The sequence below is a fragment of the Homo sapiens genome, chromosome 5, assembly GCF_000001405.40.
Source record: "Homo sapiens chromosome 5, GRCh38.p14 Primary Assembly".
NCBI lineage: Eukaryota > Metazoa > Chordata > Mammalia > Primates > Hominidae > Homo > Homo sapiens.
In genome coordinates this window covers 83,938,424-83,962,298 of record NC_000005.10, presented here as the reverse complement: position 1 = coordinate 83,962,298, position 23,875 = coordinate 83,938,424, and the positions used below count along the sequence as shown (strand labels likewise).

Below are 23,875 nucleotides of genomic sequence, written 5' to 3'. Positions count from 1 at the left end.
GGAGGAGAATATAACACTGCTTTATACATGTTAAATATTTGAGTTAATAATTATTTTTATGTTATGTAATCCTTTTACTTCCTTATGGTTATTGCATTATTAACTGACAGAGGGGTTGAAACTATCTTTCTTTCTTCAAATATTCAAGGCAGAGAATTTATAAATTTCCCCAGAAACACTAGGGCTGTAATGGCTGTTTAAGTGATTCAACAGTCTACATTTAGTTCACACAAAATTTATTTTAGAAGAGATGTGTTTTTAGCTTTAGATTTGAAAAGCCACATCTAGTCACATGTTAACATCTCAGAACACACCCATGTAACATCTCAGGACACATGCACATTTCACATGTTAACATCTTAGAAATTGGTGTATCTTACATCACAATTTAATTGAGAGCACTTATTCTTTCGTAGATGAACATAAAATAATGGCATGATTTATAATCAATGACGTCTTAAACTGAATAAATATTAGATATTTTGTAAAATTATTTTCAAACTTATTTTGTGAGCTATAGACAAGTGTTTGCCATGATTTATTGCAAATAACTATTTCACTTCCTGTCTTTTACCTTTTACAGTAAGCATTCTGATTCAGTGTATGTTTCATAAGATGAATTTTTTTAAACTTCATAAGTTATACAGGCTTGAAATTAATTTTAAGACAGATGAGTATTTACTTATCCATGTGTAAGATTCAGTAAACAGCACGTCTATTATAGTGAAATCTTTATATAGATTAGTTTAGGGAAGAAGCATAAAGAAAATTATGGTTAAACCGTTAAACTGTTGAGATACTTTTTTGTCTCCATTTATGTAAAAAAGTGATTTCATATGTGAGTAATTTAATTTTTCTTATAGACTAGACATTTTCTTGTTAATGTGTTTTATTTCATTATCTCAATCTGAAACTTACATAAAATTTTTGTGTCGTTTGATAGAGTTACTCAGGTTTTCTATATCTTTGCTGATTTTCTGTCTACTTGTACTATCTGTTACTGAGAAAGGAATGTGGAAATTTTCAACTGTCATTATGGATTTGTCTCTTCTTGCCATTATATCAGTGTTTGCTTGATGTATTTTGAAGCTCTGTTGATATGTACATAAACAGATTTTTAATGTCCTTTTGATCAAATCAACCCTTTTTCATTAGAAAATGAACTTCTGTACCCCTGGTACTATTTTTTGCTCTGAAATCTATTTTGTGTGATATTAATAGATATCGATTAACTCCAGCTTTCTTTTTATGAATGCTACCTTAGCATATGATTTTTTAGTATTTTTTCATCCTTTTACTTTTAACCTATTTGTACTCAATATTTGAAAAGTATTCCTTCTATGCAGCATATAATTTGATCTTCTTTTGTCCAGTCTATCTCTGCTTTTCAAGTGGAGCATTTAAACAATTTATATTTGATGGGAGTATTAATGTAATTGGATTTAAATTTATCATCTTACTATTTAGTGCCTATTTGTCACATCTATTTTTGTTATTCCTATTTTTGCACTCTTTTAGATTAATCAAATTTTCAGTGATTCCATTTTAATCGTGTTTATTGAATCATCAGCCATAACGTTTTGCTATTTTTGTGATTGCTTCAGGATTTGTGATACATATTTTAAACTTTTGAAATCCACCTTCAAATGAATGTTAAGGCCCAGAAACTTACCTCCATAAACACAAGCAAAATAGATTATAGCTACATATTTAGGAACTATAATTATTATAACATACAATTTGGACATGACCAAAATAAATCTTTTTTAAATTGATGTATCATACTTGTGCATATTTGGGGTGCTACATATGATATTTTAATACATGCATACAGTGTGTAATGATCACATCAGCGTTATTGGGATATCCATCACCTCAAACATCGAACCAAAATAAATATTATTGTTAAGAAAAAATAGACTCTACTAGGCAAGTTGGAAAATTGTGAAAGTAGATTGATGCATACTATTTACTAAAAATAATGTGAGCTGGAATTCTCCTGTGAGACCATAAAGCACACTATTATTCGTATAATGTAAAATTTTTTAATGAAACCATTTTTATGTTATAAATGTATGATAATTGGCTAAACTTAGCCAATTTAACTGGTAGTTTTAAGAAGAAATCTAACCAGTTTGCTTTTAATATTGTAACTAATTAGGCATAATGAAGAAAAGCCTAAGATAAAAGCCTAAGTTTATTATTTACTATTGAAGAAGACAACTGACACCAATAAACTGTAGATAAAAATTCAGTAATTAGTATTATCATAAGGAAATCTTTTATGGGGAAGAAGGAATTACAGAGCATTAGGTCTCTCCATTTTTACATAGAAAAGAATTTTATAAAACAAATGAGAAAATGTATTGCCTAAGTTATTTAAACACTTGAAAATGTAGTCATTTTATATGTAAATATACATATATATCAATGAAATATGTTTTTGATAGGTATCAAAATAACTCTTTTGCTTTATTATTACTAGTTCTACTAGATATTTTATGTATCATTTCATACATCCTTTATAGATGTCCTCTTCTGTTTAAAAGGGCTCAATACTACTTAGCAATTAATTTTTTCTAACATTGAGTAAGCCATCTCCTATTGATTCTTAACATTATTTTTGTCTTGTTTTCCATGATTACTCTCCATAAGAGGAAAAAAAAGTCTTCAATATTTACAAGTGCCAATTCAACCACAAGCTTTCATCCAGACAAATATAATAGATGAATTGAATGTTTCAGGGCAAAACATGTGTCTGTGAGATGTTTTATAGATGCACTTTTCAAACAGAAATATGTATAAACAAAAGCTTCTAAGTCTTCTTTTGTGCTGTTTGTTTTTATTGACTGCTTGCTTTAATAGATTTTTGGAGGGTGGGTGTGGAAGTCTAATGTAGATCCAGACACAAGATTACTTCAGAAAAGTAATCTGAAAATAAATGCAGTTTTCTAGGTTTACAGTAAGTGGTATAAAACTCGAAAAATGTATCAATGGCCTTTTTGTTTTTTATTAATCAGAGTGACTAAGCCTCAGAAAAGCAATGCCGTATATATATATACGTATATATATTATATGTATATAATGTATATATATATATACACACCCACACACACACAGGAGTATTTAAATATATGTAATAAATATACATGTGTACACACACATGCCAAAAGTCAACTGAAGAAAAATAATACTCTGTTCTCCTAATTGAGATGTCAGTTTTTGAATACCCTCCTATAGCATTCACAAGAATTGCAGTTTACTTTAGTATTGTTTTTTAGCTAATTTCCACATTAAATCTCTTGTAATTGAGCCTGTGATGACACTCTCATTACAGTCCATACATTTTTATTTTCCCCTTACTAGTCTACAGCATTTTCTAACATTTAACTAACTTTTATATTTCTCTACAGCATTAATTCAGGTACATTTTTATTTGAAAGTCAAATGTTCCTTTGCTCTTATGAAAGTGACATTTGTTTTATACACTTGGAGCTGTTTTTTACTGCATTTAGCAGGAAAACTGCAAAACTTGACAAACACTTTCAGTATTTAATTTTTCAGGTTATAAGCCAAAGTAAAGCAATAATAAATTTCAGGAAGAGTACTTATATGGAAAAATTAGAAATAAAAATGGGTTTTCTCATCCAGTATATTAGTCATAACATCGTAGTGTTTAAATAAGTCTGAATTCACAGCATAGGAGCTTTCTTTTTTCAGGAATAAAGAAGCTGGTAATACTCTATTTCATCTCCCTCCCTAAAATTATCCAGGGTTTTGTAAAAGCATAAGTTGAAAAGTTGAAACTTTACCTGGATTTTCCAAAACAGAAAACAAAATCCCCTGTTTCCAATAATACTTTCTTGGTCCTTAAAGAGGAATCACACGTATATTCATCAAGAAATAAACTGCAATATCTTGGTGAACTCTCTAATTCAGTAGTTACCATAATTGTCTGATTATGGCACTCATGAGGAGAGCTTGTTTAAAAATACATATTTCTGGGCCCTGCTTCAGACTCTCTGGAGATGAGCTGGAAATCTAAATGTTTACAGAGGCCCCAGCTAATAATAAGCAAGTGTGTGAAAAATGGCTAATTGATGCCAAAAACAAAATTAAATTTTTGAAACTAAGTGTAGTTTTCTGTTTTTCTAGTGAGAATGGAATTTATTATTATTCTTTAGGACTTTGGCCTCTAATTGGTCAGAGGAAGTCAATATGAATCAATGTTTCTAAAAATAAGATTAAATTTTAATAAGTTTGCCAATTCCCTTATGAAAATCACAAAGTAAACACTAGCTTTAAACAAATTTTAAATTGAAATAATATATTTAAGTAGCTTAGGATGCAGATTAGATGGGGGGATCATCTAGAAGGAGGTGAAATTTATATTCATCCAACTGTGTATTCAGTTGGCAGATTCCATGTGAGAAAAAAATCTGAATATGACACAGTCTCCCAGTCTAATGAGAAGCTCAGTAAAGGTGGAAAAATTTTGATTTAATCCGTTTATTTGGGAAAGTCAAAATATAACCTACTAGGTATATTATTTGATAAAACAACTCTAGGGAAGAAGTAGCACATAGATTATGTCAGTTTCATAAAAGTCCATCACTCTCCAATAGAAGAAAAGAGTCCCTGGTCCTTTTCAACCTCCTTCCCTTTCTCAACATGGGTGTGAAAAATAGAAGCAGCAATATCATCAGTCCCCATTAATAAAGCTGCCAGCCATGGTCTGCATTGAAGGATATATTCAAATTCAACAGTAATTACAGATGTCACAGAGCATCCTGTCATTTCTGCTGAAGTGAGTAGTTTTGGAGAGCTGAAATTAAATTTGAATGTTTAATACCTTGAAAGTCCAACTCATGGGTAAGGCAGAGGTCAGATGAGTAGTCAATAATACTCATGCTGTTCTTTTGAAATTTGATCTGGGTGAGAAACTTAGAACCTGAAGAATCCCTTAGGGAGTAAATAAAATGGAATTGTCAGTGGCAATCACAGAGGAAGATGATAGCAGGGGGAAAAGCAAAGGGAGTGAATTGTCTTTCAAGAGGGAGCAGCTGCATGTTTCTGAGCAGCAGGATCAAGGACGGTTTCACTCCATATTGCATGGAGACCATTAGTTTCATCCATTCAGAGTCCTGTTACTCTTTTCAAATAAGGCAGAGAAGGAAGGAACGGAGGCTGCTTTCCAAAAAGCAATTTCCAAAAAATACATGACTTTATACAAAACACTAGGATTCAGTAATAGCAAGTGAAGTGTGCCCCTACATGATAGAAATTCATGTAGTCACTTTATTTTACTTATTCAGTGGCTGAGTGACTTAATTGAAACTAAAGTTAAGAAGACCATTATATTATTTCAAATCGTCTAAAAATAAGAACATTGTTATTTATTTATTTATTTTAATTTGCATATTTTTAACTTGTGTGTGTACATAGACAGGTATGTATATTTATGGGGTACATGAGATGTTTTAATACAGGCATGCAATGTGTAATAAGCACATCATGGATATTGTTATTTAAATAAATACCATTTGGTATCAACTGTTATTCAGAAGTTTCTCTGCTTTTCTACTTGTAATTTAATATTATGAGACCTGACTAGGATATGTGCTGGTATGCCCAAAATAGAATGGGATGCTTGTAAATTTTGCTAAGGCCTCTGACCAAGAATGAAATGTATCAGGAAATATCTAAGTACAGAATAATTGACTTAGCAAAGTGAAAGTGGTTTGCAGGCCTAGATCTGCCTGCTGAGTTGGGAAAGGACAATCTAGTTAAATAAACTGAATTCAGAAAGCAGCATATTGTCATCAATGAGTAGTGTGATAGCAGTTGTTAAGGTACACAGAGAACATAATAGGGACCCACTTATCAGAATCAGTTGTGAAGTGGAGGCCTGGGGTCAAAAACAAGACAGAAAAAAATGGATGCAAGTCCACAAGCAAATAGCCCTGGGTCTCCTAAAAAAGTATTATGCTTCCATTTCCATGTTTAACATAAGCTGCAAGTGTCCTACCTAGATCCAAGAACAACTAAGATGTTTGTTCTTGGATGCAGGGTAAAGAAGGGTTTAAGAGCAGGAAAGGAAGGGGACAACAGGAGGTGCGGCTTATGGGATAGAGATGAGCAGAGAGAGGGCTAGTGCCCAATGTAAGTGCAACTGTAGAATGGAACAACTAGCTACATGCTGGAAATGAAAGACAAACCAGAGTGACTCATTAGCCACAGGAACAACCAGAAGCCATTCTGTCTGAAGGAGCTCAGTGATTTTTTAAGAAGTCATTCAGTTTATTTGGAAACATCAATTGAAAGCCAGTTGTCCTTCTTTAAGGATTAATTTTGAGGTTTCTAAGAAAATCCTTTGTATATTAGTTCACATTTTCTAATATTAAACACTGTCAATGTGAAATATGCAGTTAATTTTGGACAATGAATCATTTACTTTTCTTGTTGGCATTTGGATGTTTTAACCTTCATCGTTAAAAGACAAAAGAGCAAAAGCAGAAAGCTGTCTAACAACAATTAGGTGGTAGAAACAAATATACATCAGGCAGAAAATTCATAAAATTCACCAATATTAGGGTGGGTTGGGGGCAAGGAGCAGGAAGAATGTCCCTACTGGTGTGACTGTTATTTAATGACAGATAACCACCTAGTACAGATGCTATGAAACATCGTTCTCAATAAATTTATGGAGAAAGCAGAAAACAAGTCAGGATAATATGATAATAAGGAGTAAATACATGCTTATTGTTTTTTCTTGCTAATTATCTTTTTTCTCCAAAACTCAGAGTTACATTTTCAGGGAGTTTGATAAACTCCCTTAAAGTTTGAAACAATATAGTTTTTCTAGTTAGCACGTTTCTGCAAAAAAGGAAAAAATATGTGTGAAAACATAAGGAATATGTTACATAGCAGTATTATCAAAGTAAAATATTCATAAATGAAAAATAATTTAAATGTTGTTTATTATTACATGCTTTATCACCTTACTTTTCCCAGTGCTCAAATGCCAAAAAAGTTAAAATCTTCCTATTTTTATCTTCTCAATCTTCCACCACTCATCAGAAATCACTAAAAACGTGTACACTTAAAATTCTGAATATCTCATGTTTGTGTGTGACTTATTTATTAATAGACCTAATTGCATAATGACAATATTTCTCAGTGAAAAAAGTTACTCATGCTTTTATTTAAGTCATTCTTATACAACTACTAAGAAAAATCATCAAGTGTTAGCCCAACTGTGACTCTATGCATTGATTAAAAATGCTAACATGTTAAAAATATTGATTAGCGATTAGCTCCCCAGTAGAATGATCAAGACTATCAAACTTTAATAAATTGTTTAAAATTCAGTGATGTTATCATTCATTAAGAGGTAGTGATGAACCTGATGAAAGCAGGAGATGTTAGCTGAGAGAAAATTAGCATTTTGAATAGAAAAAACTACGATGCTATTTTAGGTGAATCTGATAGTTTTCTTTCCTACTAGGAAAACAAGTACTCGATCAATCTGAGTATGATAGAAACTATGTCATTATTTTGATAGTTTAAGTATGCAGTAACCATTGACTAGTGGTGTTAGTCCATTTTGTGTTACGATTAAGGAATGCCTAAGACTGGGTAATTTATAAAGAAAGGAGGTTTATTTGGCTCATGGTTCTACAGGCTGTGCAAGAATGGCAACAGAATCTGCTTGGCTTCTGGTGAGGCATCAGGAAGCTTTTTTTACTCATGATGGAAGTCAAGGAGGGAGAAGGCTCATCACGTGGCAAGAGAGGGAGCAAGAGAGAGAGGATAAGGTGACACATTATTTTTTAACAACCAGCTCTTCTGTGAACTAATAGAGCAAGAACTCATTCAATACAATAGGGAGGGCACCAAGCCATACAAGAGGGATCTGCCCCCATGACCCAGCACCTCCCCCTAGGCTACAGCTCCAACATTGAGGATCGCATTTTGACATGAGATTTGGAGGGGACAAATATCCAAACTATATCAATTAGAATATAGCAAAAATTTCAACCCATTTTATTTCTAAATAATCACCAAACAACTAATATTTTGATTGTTTATTATATGATAAAAAAAAATGCTCAAGGACTTTAGTTCTACATGATACATATTGCCATTTTTACTATCCACCATCACACCATCAGCTGCAATATGTTAAGCAATTAAAAGTCTCCCCCTTAACAGTTTCACAATGTCTTAATTAATGTGGCAGTATTTTTCTACTTTTTCACAGTTTAAATCTGAAAAAGAACAAATGATACCTGTCATATATCCATGTTTATGGGAAACTATAAAAAGATTTCTGAATCTGCCACTCCCTATAAAGTTAATCATTTGGCAATGATTTTTACGTAGTTCCTTTGGTTGAATCTCAAAGAGAAAGTGTGTTAATATGAATAGAGCACTCTTGGGACAAATACACCTGTAATAAGCCGTGTGGGGACACTTATTACAGAGGCAACACATTTCTCATCATCAAAAAACTTCTGGCATAATTTGAGACACAAAACTGCTTAAAAAATAACTTTAACCAAAGATGGATTCAGTTATTATACCTGTGTGAAGAGGCAGTCCTCTCGGTTTTTCTGAAGCTGTGAGCAGAGGACCAAACTCAGAAAACTGAACACAAGAACTAATTTCCTCATTTCCAGTAAAGTTAGAAACAACATCAATTTTGAACAGATAAATGAAATGTCTGATATTTAATAATAATTAAAGGAAGACATTCCTCATATATGAGTGAAAATAATATAACTTTTACATAACAAAATTGCACTTTTATTTCTTTTCTTCTTTTTGGTAATACCCCAATAGCCATAAGTAATAGCAAAGTTTACTTTTCTCTTCTGAGATCAAGCATATTTTAATAATAATATGCCCTCAACTCATTAAGAAAAGAAAAAAGACCCAAAATTTAGCTTATCCCAAAGAAGAGTTAGTGACTGCTCAGCTTAGGTCTAGCATTCCTCATGTTCTTCATATAGTGTTGCCAGATTTGGCAAATAAAAATACTGACACCTAGTTAAACTTAAATTCAGATAAATGATACATTCTTTAGTATAAGTATATTCAAAATATTTGATCTTGCAACCTTGTTTCCAGTTAAGATCTTCTATGTCTTGTAGCTGGACCAGATGGTCTACTGAGGATACTCAGGAGAGAGGATAAAGGAGAATGACTACTTTCTGTGCCTAGGCAATACATGCTTACGCTCACACCTAGGCACCCTGCTTCAGCTGTACGATTCCACTTTGCCACCCCTGCATCCATCTCCAGGATTGTCTCCTCTCCCTAATACTCTTTTCCCCTCATCATGAGTCTGGCTTAGAAGTCACATGGCTGAGTGCTTAAATCACTTCTGTGTTCATACATAGAGCTCGATATTAAGTCATTTCTGACAAGGATAGGGTGAAACTCTTCAATGAGACTTGAAGTGAGGAAAAGTCTCCTAATGCGGGAAGAATTACCAAATACACCAATTTCTCTACTGCCACATCATTTATATATCTACCATGAAGGGTAGAGTCAGGGGTAGAGTCTCAAATTGTTCTGATGAGATGGAAAATACATAGTGTGATTTCAGATGAGAGTTTGAGAGATGAGTTTTGAGCTTCAATAGAGAGGCAAGTTGCTCTGTACTTTTATAGAAAAGAGGAAAGGCATTTCTACATTTCTCATGTTCTACTAAAAAGAAAAAAGTAGATGCCCTTACTTTCCAACTATTCCTGGTAATATCTCCTGGAGATGTCTTTGAAAAGCAGATGGTTTCCCAATTCTACTTTTTCTGTGGGAATATTTCTTATGGCAGTCAAAATCTGAGTAGTGGAAGGCAGATAGTTTAAATATATAGCCACAGTTTAGAATGGCATATTTTATGTTTCATAAATCTTTATAGGCAATCATCCTATGTGATATATTTCCTAAGATATTGTCATTACTTAAGGAGACTTTCATCATAAAAGAAGTTAAATATGGTGGTGTATCCTACCTACTGGCTTTTAGACTCTACATTCTAAATGACAGCAAGCTTGGGGAAAGGAAGGTAACAGTCAAGGAGGATGGACTCTTTTGCTTTGATTTTTCACTACGTCTTTTTCCCAAGGTCAAGACCTAATAACAAAAGGTAACATGAACTTCTTAGTGAGGCTCTTGGGGCTCTTTCTAAAGAGCTACCAGCTCTCCAGCTACTTAAAGCCAAAGTTATGCAAGAAAACAGTCCGTAGAATGAATGGAGATGGCCACTCTGCCCCAGTCCCTTTGGTCTCTCATCGGGCTGACTGGGATGTTGGCAATTCCTAGCTCAACTTGTCACTCTCACAGTGGACTAGGGAATCACAAGTATTGCCTATGCCAGCTTGCCAGTAATAGACAAGTTGATACTACTGGGCAGAATAGGATTCCCTAATCCCATATCTTTTTAGGAGCAGTTGAACTCTTCTACGAAAAGCCAGAAGTTAAATGTTCTAAAAAAAATACTATCAAAAATGTGCTATTTCCTCCTCTTTTCCAATACTCTCAAATTCCAGAGGATCTAAGAAATAATGAATTTTAGAAAGCTATCACACAGTTCTCTTTCCCAATGAAGAAATATGTTCCCAAACCAGCTTTCATGTCAACTACATGGAAACCAAAGAGAATCTGGCAATTTGAGAAGCAATGAAGGGCCGGAAATGTGGACTTTTATTGCCAGGGTAGGGAAAAAAACACCTTTGCCTATGTTTTGGCCAATTATTATTGGAATCTTTCATTTGTGCATTTTCAGAAAAAAAAAATCTAACAGAAGGAGCAGTAGAGTGCAAATCATGCTACAAGAATTGTAAGTGAACATCAAATTTGTGGTGTAGTAAAGAATTTCTTGGGCTATAATCAGAGATTTATATACATGAGGAACATGAAGCAAAGCCAGATTCATTCAGTAAAGTATAGTATTTCTTGAAGCCAAAAATCTACTTTTTTACATAGTTACAATAGAAAGCAAACTTTAGAGCCACAAGAAATTTCTTGAGAGCAACAATGGGAATGGAAATAATTTTTTTAGAGAACCCATATATTCATTTTAATGGTTTAAATGGATCATGCCCGTGTGAAAGAGAGACTATGGAACCTGCCCCATGTTTTGTTTTTCACTTCTCCCATCAAGCAAAAATGTTCTATAATTAGATTTTTGAAGTTAAATAAGCAGTTTGAAAGCCTCAGGTAGTTTCATGGAGAAATCTTGGGAAGCAAAGAAGTCTCTGAAGCAAACAGGGTCTAGATTTTTCAAAGGGTTTATGGAACAAAACATCATTTTAAAAAGAACATAGATAAAATTAATATCCAATATGAATTATGGTGCAGAATTATTATATATATGACCATGCACGATAGCTTTAAGAAAATCTGACTGCAGTTTCTTAAGGGATTTCAAAAGAAACCCAAGTAGATGGACAAAGTAGTATTTCTCAAAGGACCTATAAGCTTTTATGGAAATGATATTAAAGAAATACAGGAGAATAAAGAAGTTGGATTTTTTGTTACTGAAATATGCAAGAGGACAAGTAACACTGGTTGTTTGATATGCTTATTAGGTTTATGCCCATGAGAATAAATATCATCCAGAAATTGAAAATAAGAACAGCAAGTAAAATAGAGAGAGTAGAACCTAACAGTAGAAAGTTTAGAAAGTATACTTATGGGCCAAAATAAACAAATTTCAATGGATTGTCCTTTGAGGATTTATTCAAAGAATCAGAATAGAAAGTAAGTTCACAATCAACTTTAAAGCCTGAATGTCTGTCACACGCTGGCGCATGATGTTGGGGAAGTTGTAGATACAACCCTTTCAGACAATTGAGGTTCCTTTTCCAACTGTCAATGTTTCAGACAACAAAACTTAGATGAAACCTGTAGCCCTTCAATACCAATTACTCATCACAAATTCAGGATTCCCTAAACCCACCCTCACTTTTGACATCAATTGCACATTCACAGTTCCCCAAGATCATTCTCAGGTTTGATAATTCAATAGAAAAACTCACAAACACAACTAAAATTATCATACAGTTATCGTTTATCACGATGAAAGGATATGGATACAGATCATCTAAGGGAAGAGACATATGGGGCAGAGTCCAGGAGAGTCCAGGAATGAGCTTTCAGTTGTCTTGGAGACTTCTGGAGAGTAGTAAGTTCTCTCAGCAATGTTACGTGACAGTAAGCCCAGAGTATTGCCAACTAGGAAGCTCACCTTAGCGTTGGTATTCAGAGTTTTTGTGGAAGCTCCTACATTTAGACATGGTTGACCATCTGTATGGCTAACCTTAGTTTCCTCCTTTTCAGTGGTCAAGCTGACCTGAAGACCCCACTGTAAACCACAATGTTAGCATAGGCTATCTGGTGTGGCCCAGAGCCCCCTGGGAAACAAAAATACTCTTCTCAGACAGGCCATTCCAAGGGCTTAGAGATTACCTTCAAGTTGCTGAGGGTGAAAAACAGACTCCTCCTTGGGTAAGGTTAACATCTACTGCACACTCGTATTACACACGGTTTTGTAGACTGTACACTGATCACTGGAATGACATGTGTCTGTAAACGCTATGCTTACACTAGATTTGACACATCCTAAACTCTGCAGAAGAACTGTTCAATAGAAAAAAGATATGATGGTCAGCAATTTACTTCAAGATAGTACACACAAGCAAACTCAAGATTAAGATGTGTCTAGATATGTTTCTTGCAAAGAAGACAAGATGATCAACTCCTTTTGGATACAGAAAAATAAAGTGATTGTCTAATATGTTACAATTAGTGGTTGATATGAAAACAAGTCCTCTTCGCATTTGATCTCTTATCTGTAGATTACACACATTATATTTTCACAAACTGGGACATGTAACTTTATCATTGTCTTTGGCTCTACTTTAAGGTCTTATGTATACATTTTGGTTGAATTTTTTTTCATTTGACTTTCACCTGCTGATAAATTGTTTCGGTTAGTTATGACCTTATTTCAGCTTTGGAGGGTAATGGTTCCACTCAGGATGCTATGGGATGGAAGACACTGTGGTAGCTCTCTGTTCCTTTCTGTCAATGACAATTTGTGCTGTAGTGTTGTTGGGCTGCCCTGTAGTGAAGGCTGATCCCCCAGCTCATTCTGCAGACTGATGATCAATATAGACACTTATTAACAAAGTCTACTGGCTCCAACAGAAACCCCTACTTTTTTGGTGACCCTCTTAGAATATAATTCTCAATATCACTATTTTCCAAAGAAACATTTCTTAGAATATTGAAATTTATCTGGAAATGAATTTCTTGTTTCCTTATTACATCCGGAAGAATGTACTCATATTGAGGCTAATTTTGTTACAGAGTTTCATTGGTTTAGTGGAATTGATTGCAGAGAAAAACATCAAGAATAATATACTAGCCATTCAATCATGAAATGGTTTCAGGATGCTGGTAAATTTTCCTAGAAAATTGAATTCACAGAATGATAGCTGCAGTCTATTTTGGCTAAAAGAATTAAACTTTGGTTTCAGACTTTTTATAGCCAATCACTTATAGAAGTTTCATACATGCAAAGCTTCCAATAAGATTTGTTTAATATGATATAGATGTATACCACTAACTAAAATGTTTAAAAATAATTTTCTATATATTTTGATATTTTTTTCCTTTTTAATAAAAAAAATTTGATTTTTGGAATGCTTGCATATAGGGCAAAGTAGAACATAAATTTTAGATTATCCTAAAATATTACTGAAAATCTAGCCCTAGAATTAGAAACAAAGAAAGCTCTTTCCCAAACTGTTCAAATGGAAAAATGTTATGTTTGACGTGATTCATGCATACTAATTCCGTGAAAATTTTCATAAGACTTTACATCACTTAAAGCGTTGATTCAAGTTGTAACTCTGAAATTTTTGACAGTCAAAAAAATTGAAGTAATGTTGACACTAAGTATATAAAAATAAATTTTATGATCCTGAACTATAAATTAATAAGCATCTGTCCCTTATGTCAGCCACAAAAATCAGAATTATATACTTATATAATATATAAATGGTTGCTTTATAAAACAGATACAAGTAAAAAAAATTGGAAAACCCTCACTGAGGAGAAATTATGAAAATATCCAAAATCTATTTGACCATAAATCAATCAACTATAACCCAAAATGCAATATAATTATTCTACATTTTAGACTGCATTGATAGAAATATTGCATCTACAACAAAGGCGCACTCTATCTTTTGAGTTATTCACAGTATGTCTACATTCTGTGTCCCAATAAATACCACGCTTTCACTGAGCCATAGTTAAAACAGATGTTAGTCAATGGAATGCAATCAAGATTATAAGTCTGAAAATCATGCAACATGAGGAACTTTTTAAGGAACTATGAATGTTTAGCCTAGAGCGCTGAAGTTGAGTTTTTGAGAGGTTTGTGTCAATTATTGTTAAGTATGTCAAAAGTTCTTTTGATGAGCTAAGTTTGTTCTATATTCATTGAGAATTAAGCACTAGATTCAATAGACTGAAGTGAGAGATACACATTTTAGTCTTCTAAAAAGATAGACTTTCAAACTGTCTAAATACATACCTGTCCTATTGTATTGAGGCATGCCATGAATAGGCTGAAAGTTCCATGTTAGAAATATTAGAGGGAAAAGTTATTGATAGCAGATCTCTGAGTTCTCTTCCAGATCTCAGATTCTTTCATTATATGGGTAGAATTAGATAAAAACAGGGTTTCTGAGGATCAGAGCTACCAAAGACTGTTCTTATTTAACTTCTCCATTAGTGCTCTGGATGAAAGCTCAAAGGATTGAAATTATGTATGTTAAATAAAGAATTCTGAGCTTTCAGCCCAGCACCTCTGCACACACACACACACACACACACACACACACACACAGACACAGACACAGACACATACATGCTGCCCTAGGAAAATGGATCTTTACCTTTGTCCTCTATCCCTTAAGAACAGCAGGTCAGTGTACAGATACAGTCAGTAAGGCCAGTGGTATGCTTGATACCATAAACAAAGCAAATACAATCAATAGAAAAAACTTTAGAAAGTCTCACTCAACCTTTATATTTCCACAATATCTGAAATCCCAGATGCGGTTCGACTATAGTCTCCAAATAGCAGAAGAAAAATAATGAAATCTATAAGGGGGCAACAAAAACCCAGAGGGATGAAGTGATGGTCACTTGAAATCTTAATAAAATACTGGTGTTTAATACTGATGTAAAATGCTGATGTTTAGCCATAGGGAATCTATCTAAAAATGCTTAGAACCACTCGCTATTTGAATGATGTGAACAGCAATTCCAAAAAGTTAGAACAATGGTAATCTCTTTAAAACTTTTAATCAGTTAAGTTTAGGACAAATGAAAAGAAGCACATTTTTACAAACTAGATAATTTTCTAAAGAAATCATATGTGCAAGAAGTCCCCAAGGGATTCTTTGATATTTAGAGTCCTATTCGATGACTGCTAAAAGAAACTGAAATATGCCCCACCTCTCTGACTACATCGTGGAGGATAATGTTACTTTGTTCCATGATCCCTGGAGGCCTCCTATTGATGTCTATACCGGCCTGAATAGACCGTAGTCCTAACAAAGAATGGTAGCTCGTCTTATAAAAAATGTATTAATGCTGCTAGAAACAAGATTTTATTGTTTTATTTTATCTGATATTCTCTCCGTGCTGAGATTTGAATCCTCTGAAGAATCTGATTTGTATTTTCAACCAGCATCACAAGAGAGTTAACCTTAGGAAAAAGAAAATCAAGATAGCTACATTGAGGGAGTTGTATTTTTCTTTCTCTTATCTTCTCTTAGGTTGTAATTATGGAAGCTTCTGCAAAGTACCTTGAGTGTTTTTTGATCAAGGCCCCATATGTTAGAAAAAGCCTGAGAGACCTCTAAGCAATATCATGTTTGAATATATCAGCAAATTTGTGATCAGCCAATTAGCCTCCTTCCTGAACTGGAACTTGTGCATAGTTTTTCTAAAAAATTCTAAATTGAACTGTGTCTTTCTCATGTAAAATATTTTCACTCCTATATAGAGATTTAATGTTCTCTATCAGTCTTTTCAGACTTCAGTTTTAGTTCAGATGCTTATGTCTCTAAAATGTGCCTGTGAAAGCACTTTCTAGAAATCTTAGAGATTTTATGAAGTTAACTAAAAATACTGTGTTTGCATTCCTTTGCAAGGTGAAATATTTAGGTGGCATTCTTAAGCAGGGGCTTCCTAGTGCTTGAGATAAGAAAACAGCACATGTGCCACATGTTTACACAACAAGTACAAAATATCATCCTGGAATTAGCAAGTGGGTGCTTTGTGTTCTGTACGTGTCATTACTGAGAGGCCTCTGAAAATAAAAATATATTTTCAGTACTTTGAGGCTGTAAATTCTGTGATTCTAGTATAGATTTCGGCTGTTTTTCTGTGAACGTTATTGTTTTATTAATCATCCTGTTTCGTGAAACTTCACTTTTTTTAAGTGAACATGCAAATATCCATGACTTTCACATATTAAATCAGAAATTTCATAGTTGTTTTCAGTTCCAGAGCTGATATAGTTTCTCTGTATGTATTCTTCATTATAAAGAAATAAGTATAATTAATAATTCAACTAATACTTTCTGGGTTGATAGTTCGCATCAAAACCTGTGCTGGAGAGCAGACACTTAAGAGAAAATTGTTTCTTTCTGTATTTCCTTCCCAAGAAGTGGTATAAAACTATATTTCGGGCTGTTATAAATCTTGCAATGAAAGTTAATGAATTTAAACTCTATTATCCCAGAGATATACATTAAGTTCACTAGCAGGGCTACAAAATTGGATTTTAGATTCCGTATTAAATTGTAATACCACAATCTCAGTGAAATATTTGAATCCAACATCATATGTCAGAGAGGATGTCAGTAAACCAGGGCTTATTTTCTGCTGTTGCAGTAGCAACAGTCTCTCAAGATTTTTGGTGAGTGTTTATGATATGTCCTGTACCTGTGAGTTTTGCTAACAGAGACATTGTAACATAGTAGTAGCACATTTCAGTCCAGAATGAATTATTCCTTTGTGCAAGACAGGGCATTACTAAGCATAAAATGCCTGCTAAATGAATATGAATTTAGATATGCCAGCAGAACCAGCAGAGAGACTTTTCAGTCTTGTCTATTGCTCCTATTAATCAGTGCCGTACTGCCTAATGCTTTTGAGGAGAATATGATTTTTTTCTTTCCAGGAGAACATTTGTGGCCGTATAAGACTGAACCAATCTAGCCTAGAAGGCTTTTAAAACATTCCCTTTAATTTCAGAATGCTGAAAGATGTGGGTTAAGTATCCTGTCATGTGATGATGGAGTTTGGTTGTTTTTTGTTTTCTACTTTAAGGATTTTATCTTCAGGTGTCTCTGGCCACATAGTTATGTTTTGATGCCAAACAAGAAAGAAATTTGATGTCAAACAAGAAAGAAAATTATCTTCTAATTATAAGATGCTTCATAAAGCAAAAACAGAAAGCGTTGAAGAGATTTTTACTCTAAAAATTTAAACTAAATCTAAAAATCTAAACTAAATCTAAATTTTTAAAAATGTAGATATAAAATAGTTAGAAATCACTTTAATAAGAAATGTTCAGAATCTATAAGAAAAAAAGGATAAAATCTTCAGATAAAGACTAAATAATATAAATACCTCAGTTTACCCCAACATAATTTATAATTTAATGCCATTCCTATCAGGGACCCAGTGTTTTAAATTTGTTTTGTTTTCTGAAGCAGACATTTGTCCAAGTTATTATGAAAGTCTTTTGGGGAAGAGCAAGTGGCCATAGTAATAGTAAAGCTCCAAAAAAAAAAAAAAAAAAGCATTTTTACAAAAGAAGAAAGAAGAATAGACGTGCAATGCAAAGGGTCAGGATATTATAAGTCATATTCATCCCAATAGTATTGTATGGATCCAGGAATTAATAGATGAAGCCAAAAAAGAAGAGAAAAACAGTTCAAAAACAGCATTGATTGTGTTGTCTCATTTGGAGATGGGCTAGTTTTATTCTCTATGTGAGAAGAAGTGGGCAAAAGGCACTGTGATAGAGGCCGTTAGTGCTCACCAGATAGCCTTGTGCTTCTCTCCAGTGCCCAGCCTCCTTTGCTGTTAGGCTGGAGTCATATAATTAGGTAAGGTGAAACAGATATATACAGAAGTGATATAAGCTGCTTCCATGCTTGTTCTCTTAAACACTCTGCACAGTCTGCTAACTCTCCCTCCCCTTGCCCCTTGTGAATGTGGAGGCCGCCTGCTCCAGATGATAGCTGTACTTTGCAAGCAGCTTGGATCTCTGAGTCACCCCGTGGAAGAGAGCATCTTCAGCAAGCTACATGACTAACGTCAGCCTGTGACATAAGCAAAAAATGAATACCTGTTGTATTTTTTTTAATTGAGAGAAACAAGTAGAGGAAAATGATAGACCTATGAATGTCTGCATTAAACAATAAAGGTTTAACTCTTTAAACATTAATTGACCATTTAATTTAAAATAATTATTATTAAAAAGAAGCTGCAATATATTTTGAAGAAAAGAAAATGAATAGTTATCAAATATCATGTTTGGGGAAAATGTTCCAAACAGGAACATAAAAATAATTTCAAAGAAAGAAGGCTGTGTGACTGACATTTTTCTGCTCTTCTTTATTAGGTTTTCCAGGGAAATTTTGACAATGACACTCACAGAAAAAATGTCATCGACCCTCCCATCTATGCACGACACATAAGAATCCTTCCTTGGTCCTGGTACGGGAGGATCACATTGCGGTCAGAGCTGCTGGGCTGCACAGAGGAGGAATGAGGGGAGGCTACATTTCACAACCCTCTTCCCTATTTCCCTAAAAGTATCTCCATGGAATGAACTGTGCAAAATCTGTAGGAAACTGAATGGTTTTTTTTTTTTTTTCATGAAAAAGTGCTCAAATTATGGTAGGCAACTAACGGTGTTTTTAAGGGGGTCTAAGCCTGCCTTTTCAATGATTTAATTTGATTTTATTTTATCCGTCAAATCTCTTAAGTAACAACACATTAAGTGTGAATTACTTTTCTCTCATTGTTTCCTGAATTATTCGCATTGGTAGAAATATATTAGGGAAAGAAAGTAGCCTTCTTTTTATAGCAAGAGTAAAAAAGTCTCAAAGTCATCAAATAAGAGCAAGAGTTGATAGAGCTTTTACAATCAATACTCACCTAATTCTGATAAAAGGAATACTGCAATGTTAGCAATAAGTTTTTTTCTTCTGTAATGACTCTACGTTATCCTGTTTCCCTGTGCCTACCAAACACTGTCAATGTTTATTACAAAATTTTAAAGAAGAATATGTAACATGCAGTACTGATATTATAATTCTCATTTTACTTTCATTATTTCTAATAAGAGATTATGTGACTTCTTTTTCTTTTAGTTCTATTCTACATTCTTAATATTGTATATTACCTGAATAATTCAATTTTTTTCTAATTGAATTTCCTATTAGTTGACTAAAAGAAGTGTCATGTTTACTCATATATGTAGAACATGACTGCCTATCAGTAGATTGATCTGTATTTAATATTCGTTAATTAAATCTGCAGTTTTATTTTTGAAGGAAGCCATAACTATTTAATTTCCAAATAATTGCTTCATAAAGAATCCCATACTCTCAGTTTGCACAAAAGAACAAAAAATATATATGTCTCTTTAAATTTAAATCTTCATTTAGATGGTAATTACATATCCTTATATTTACTTTAAAAAATCGGCTTATTTGTTTATTTTATAAAAAATTTAGCAAAGAAATATTAATATAGTGCTGCATAGTTTGGCCAAGCATACTCATCATTTCTTTGTTCAGCTCCACATTTCCTGTGAAACTAACATCTTATTGAGATTTGAAACTGGTGGTAGTTTCCCAGGAAGGCACAGGTGGAGTTATTTGTGAGAAGCAAAGTGTTTACTAATGACAAAGTAGTAAACCATTTTCAAGATGAAAACTGATTTCTATTTATTTTGCTTCAAAGGTCCTGAAAAAATAAGCAATTATCATAACAATTTGTTATTGATACTGGAGGTTTCATTGACATGTCTCTCAAATTAAAGCTCACACTGCCTCCATAAAAGTCTTCAACATCTAATTTATAAGCTTTACAAGTATTTATTTTATAAGGCTTAGACAGAATTATTGGAGTTTTAAATTAAGTGTATTGGAAAAGAAAGGATGGTATGTGTATGAAATGTTAAGATCCTACGCAACACTGCTATTTTTTTCCTTTAATATTTGTGCTGCATAACAAAAGCCACTAGACTGTTACTGTCTTGTCTGTCCATGTGTTAACAGCATTTCTTAATGATGTATATATGGAGTGGTCTTCAATCATAGTGAAGAATTTAAAGAGAAAGTCAATTGTATTGGCATTTTTAATAAGAACAAAATTAGTTCGTCTAAGGGGACTGGCTGGCCACATATTTGTTCCTTGCCCATATGCTTTCTACTTCTTGTTCTTATTATGAAATTATGAATTTGAAGCCTCTGAAATGGTGATCAGTTTTCAACATCTTTCAAAAACAAAATTACTATTTCCTCCATATTGCCTTTTTTAGATAACTTTAAAGTTAGGATTTTAAAATATTTGTAACTGGCTAAATTTTAAAGTCGTGACAAATAATTACTTAGGTTCAGAAATATACACACACTTACTCTTTAGCCAGTTTCTTTCAAGGTTTACTGTCCCATCAGATATCTAGCCATTTTCCTTTGCAAATTACATACCTTCTTAAGAGTGTATTTTTAAGATTATTACTTACGCTTTATGATGATATAGTTTTTCAAAATTATTTATAGCTTCATATGATGTTTTGTAATTTTTTCTATTGATACCTGTTTTAAAAATATTTTCCAAGGAAGTTGATTAAAATTATATTTGTTACCTTTTAGAAAAAGCATTGAAATGAGTTTCTCTTGCTTTTTCATTTTCCCTCTGCTTTATATGCTCTTCGCAATACATCATGTCCAACGGGATACCTATTGTTCTCATGACACCCAAAATTGATGAGAGCAAAGGGGTCGCACCATATGGAAATGTTGAAAACTATTGTAAAGTAGTATTATGAAGTAGCTTTTGTGTCATTCATGTCGATGACATGAAAGTGAAGTAAATTTATTCTATGTAAATTCACACTAAAACCAGTACAGTACCATAAGTAGAATACATGTAAGAATCACCTAGTCTTCACTATATTGAGTAAATATAACATGCTAATTTTACAATTAATGAAACTAAACTTTTAAACATCTCCATTATATCTACATCCTTTTGAAGGTATTTATCATAGTTGCCAATTTTAATTTTAGGATTGACTTTCTCTTTCTGAATGACTTCATAAAGTTTGGTGTGAATTTTGAAGACTTGGGTTACTAATGATTGTATCTTTGCTAGTCAACAACTTATGAAATATACTCAATGCGTCTGATGTGTCATTAAGTGCAGAAATAACTAAGACACAAATAACCTTTGCAAACCTTCAAGCTGTGTAATATTCCAATGTTGTTTTTTTCTTTGTATATATACTTATATCACGTAGGATGTAAAACCAGTATGACCTTGTCTAGTCTCCAAACTTAAAATAAACTTTTGAAAAGCTGGGATTCTTTTGAAGCAGTTGTAATTAAACACATTTATAAGAATACACAAATTGTCTGAATGTGAATGCCCACTACTCTTGACCACATACTTGGTTCATTTTTGCCTTGCACAGGACAGTTGAACGGATACAGAAAAAATAGAAATTACAACAACCTCTAAATATATATTGATATTAGCTAAACTGGTCTTTTGAAGATTATTAAAATGTATGCATTCTTCCTGCTCCTTTTAGATGCAGAAGTTTTACTAGAATATTCTTAATCCAAAGTCATTTTTGGCCTCATGTATAAAGCATTGTGCACCAGGACTGATCTGCCCATTGTTAATCAGATGATATTGCTATCATTTCTATAGTTTTTTCAGTTCATGATGCTCAGGAGTATGATGAAGAAATCCAGTCAGTAGTAAGCAATAATATAACAGTAATAATGTATTTATCCATGTAACATTAGCTATTGAATAATGAAAATCATAACGTGGATTCTTCATAAATCCTGTTTCTAGCTCTCTGGAAGTCACTGGTGAAATACTAAATCTGTGTACTTGCTATTGTTTTGACATTTTCTTAGGATGCAAACAATTTAGGGAGGAATTAAGATATGAAAGGTTACTACTTATTTGAGCTTCAGTGAGTTTCTGATAGCTCCCAGAACTGACTAATCACGTTTATGTACTCATACACATTCCCATTTAAATGCATTTTAATATCAGCAGATCAATGGGATTCCGTTGTTTGCCTAATTTTTGCACATACTCATAAACAAACAATAAATGTGCTTTTATTAAATAAGAGAAATTATACATATAAATTTTCAGTAGCGCTAATAAGGAATCATGACAACATCTATACAGGGTACAATTTTATTGTGACAGCAAAATATTTAATAATTATCCAACAGAAAATTTTCAAGTATAAAACTTTTAAGACTACTGATTCTAGATTCAAAAATAATAAAAGCATTTCAAATTCCAAGAAGAAAAGTCTGCATAGGCTGAAATTTGTGTTTTTTATAAAGTATTACTAATAACTTCATGAATGGAAAATATTATCTCTATATAACCTGAATTTTAAAACATCTATCAGCTTTGCACACATGACTTTAAGATTTTGATAAAGAAACATTAATGTTTACTGTCAGAAATTCAGTGCTCTCTATCTCTTTTCAAAAGGCTAATTTTTAAAAAATTAACAATCACTTTAGTATGCTATTTATTTGTGAAAAATATTGCCTCTAGCCTTTGAGATGCAAAAGGATCCTTTTATCTGCACAGGTAAAATAGAAGACCAAACAACTTTGCCAGTTGAGAAATGTTTCAACTACCCTGAAATTGAATGCACTGTCATTTGTCTTTACAAAGACAAAGAATACCTAGTGGAAGTAGCAATTTTTCTATTGATTTTGAAGGGGGAAATAGGTTTCTTGATTCTATTGCAATAAATGCCTATAATTCATATTGGCTGTTTCAACATTGCCACCAAATAAAGTGTTTTCCACAGTAGGCAAGTGCACTTACTCAAAGAGTTATTTCTATTAAATGAATTTGGTAGCAGAAATAGGAAAACATAAAAGGCTCCATGTTCAACAATTTTTGCATAACTTCGCAGAAGCTGATTGAGTCATGTGAAAGCACTAATACTTTGGAAATATGGTGTCGAACCATCAGCAAATGGCCACCGTATTACATGATTAAGCATTGCATATGGTGACTGCTTCCGATTGAATTTTATTTTAATGTCCTTAAAGGCATGAACCACGCTGCTCCATATTTATGTAAAATCCCCATAGTGCCCTTCATATATCCACACATATGTTAACGATGATAAATTACAATGTAACCTCAACCTGCTGCCACCTGTAAAGGGAGTGGTGGCAGTGAGACCAATGATGCGTCTAAACAATATATCTCTGGCCAGGCACGGTGGCTCATGCCTGTAATCCCAGCACTTTGGGAGGCCGACGTGAGCAGATAATTTGAGGTCAGGAGTTTGAGATCAACCTGGCCAACATGGTGAAACCCAGTCTCTACTAAAATACAAAAATAAGCCGGGCATCGTGGCACATGTCCATAATCCCAGCTACTGGGGATGCTAGGCAGCAGAATCCCTTGAATCCAGGAAGTGGAGGTTGCAATGAGCCGAGATCGCGCCACTGCACTCCAGCCTGGGTGACAG

At 33.4% G+C, this 23,875-nt stretch overlaps 1 protein-coding gene across 2 annotated transcripts in view; it reads left to right on the top strand.

Moving 5' to 3' along the window:
- The window catches only part of EDIL3 (EGF like repeats and discoidin domains 3), a 444,327-nt gene extending 422,582 nt beyond the window's left edge, over window positions 1–21,745 (top strand). The window contains exon 11 of one of the 2 annotated variants that reach the window (NM_005711.5): window positions 18,731–21,745. In NM_005711.5, the coding sequence (NP_005702.3) occupies window positions 18,731–18,880 (150 nt within the window). In that variant the 3' untranslated portion in view covers window positions 18,881–21,745. The remainder of the gene's footprint in view (window positions 1–18,730) is intronic. The other variant, NM_001278642.1, reaches the window with a different exon arrangement.
- Window positions 21,746–23,875: the final 2,130 nt, after the last annotated feature.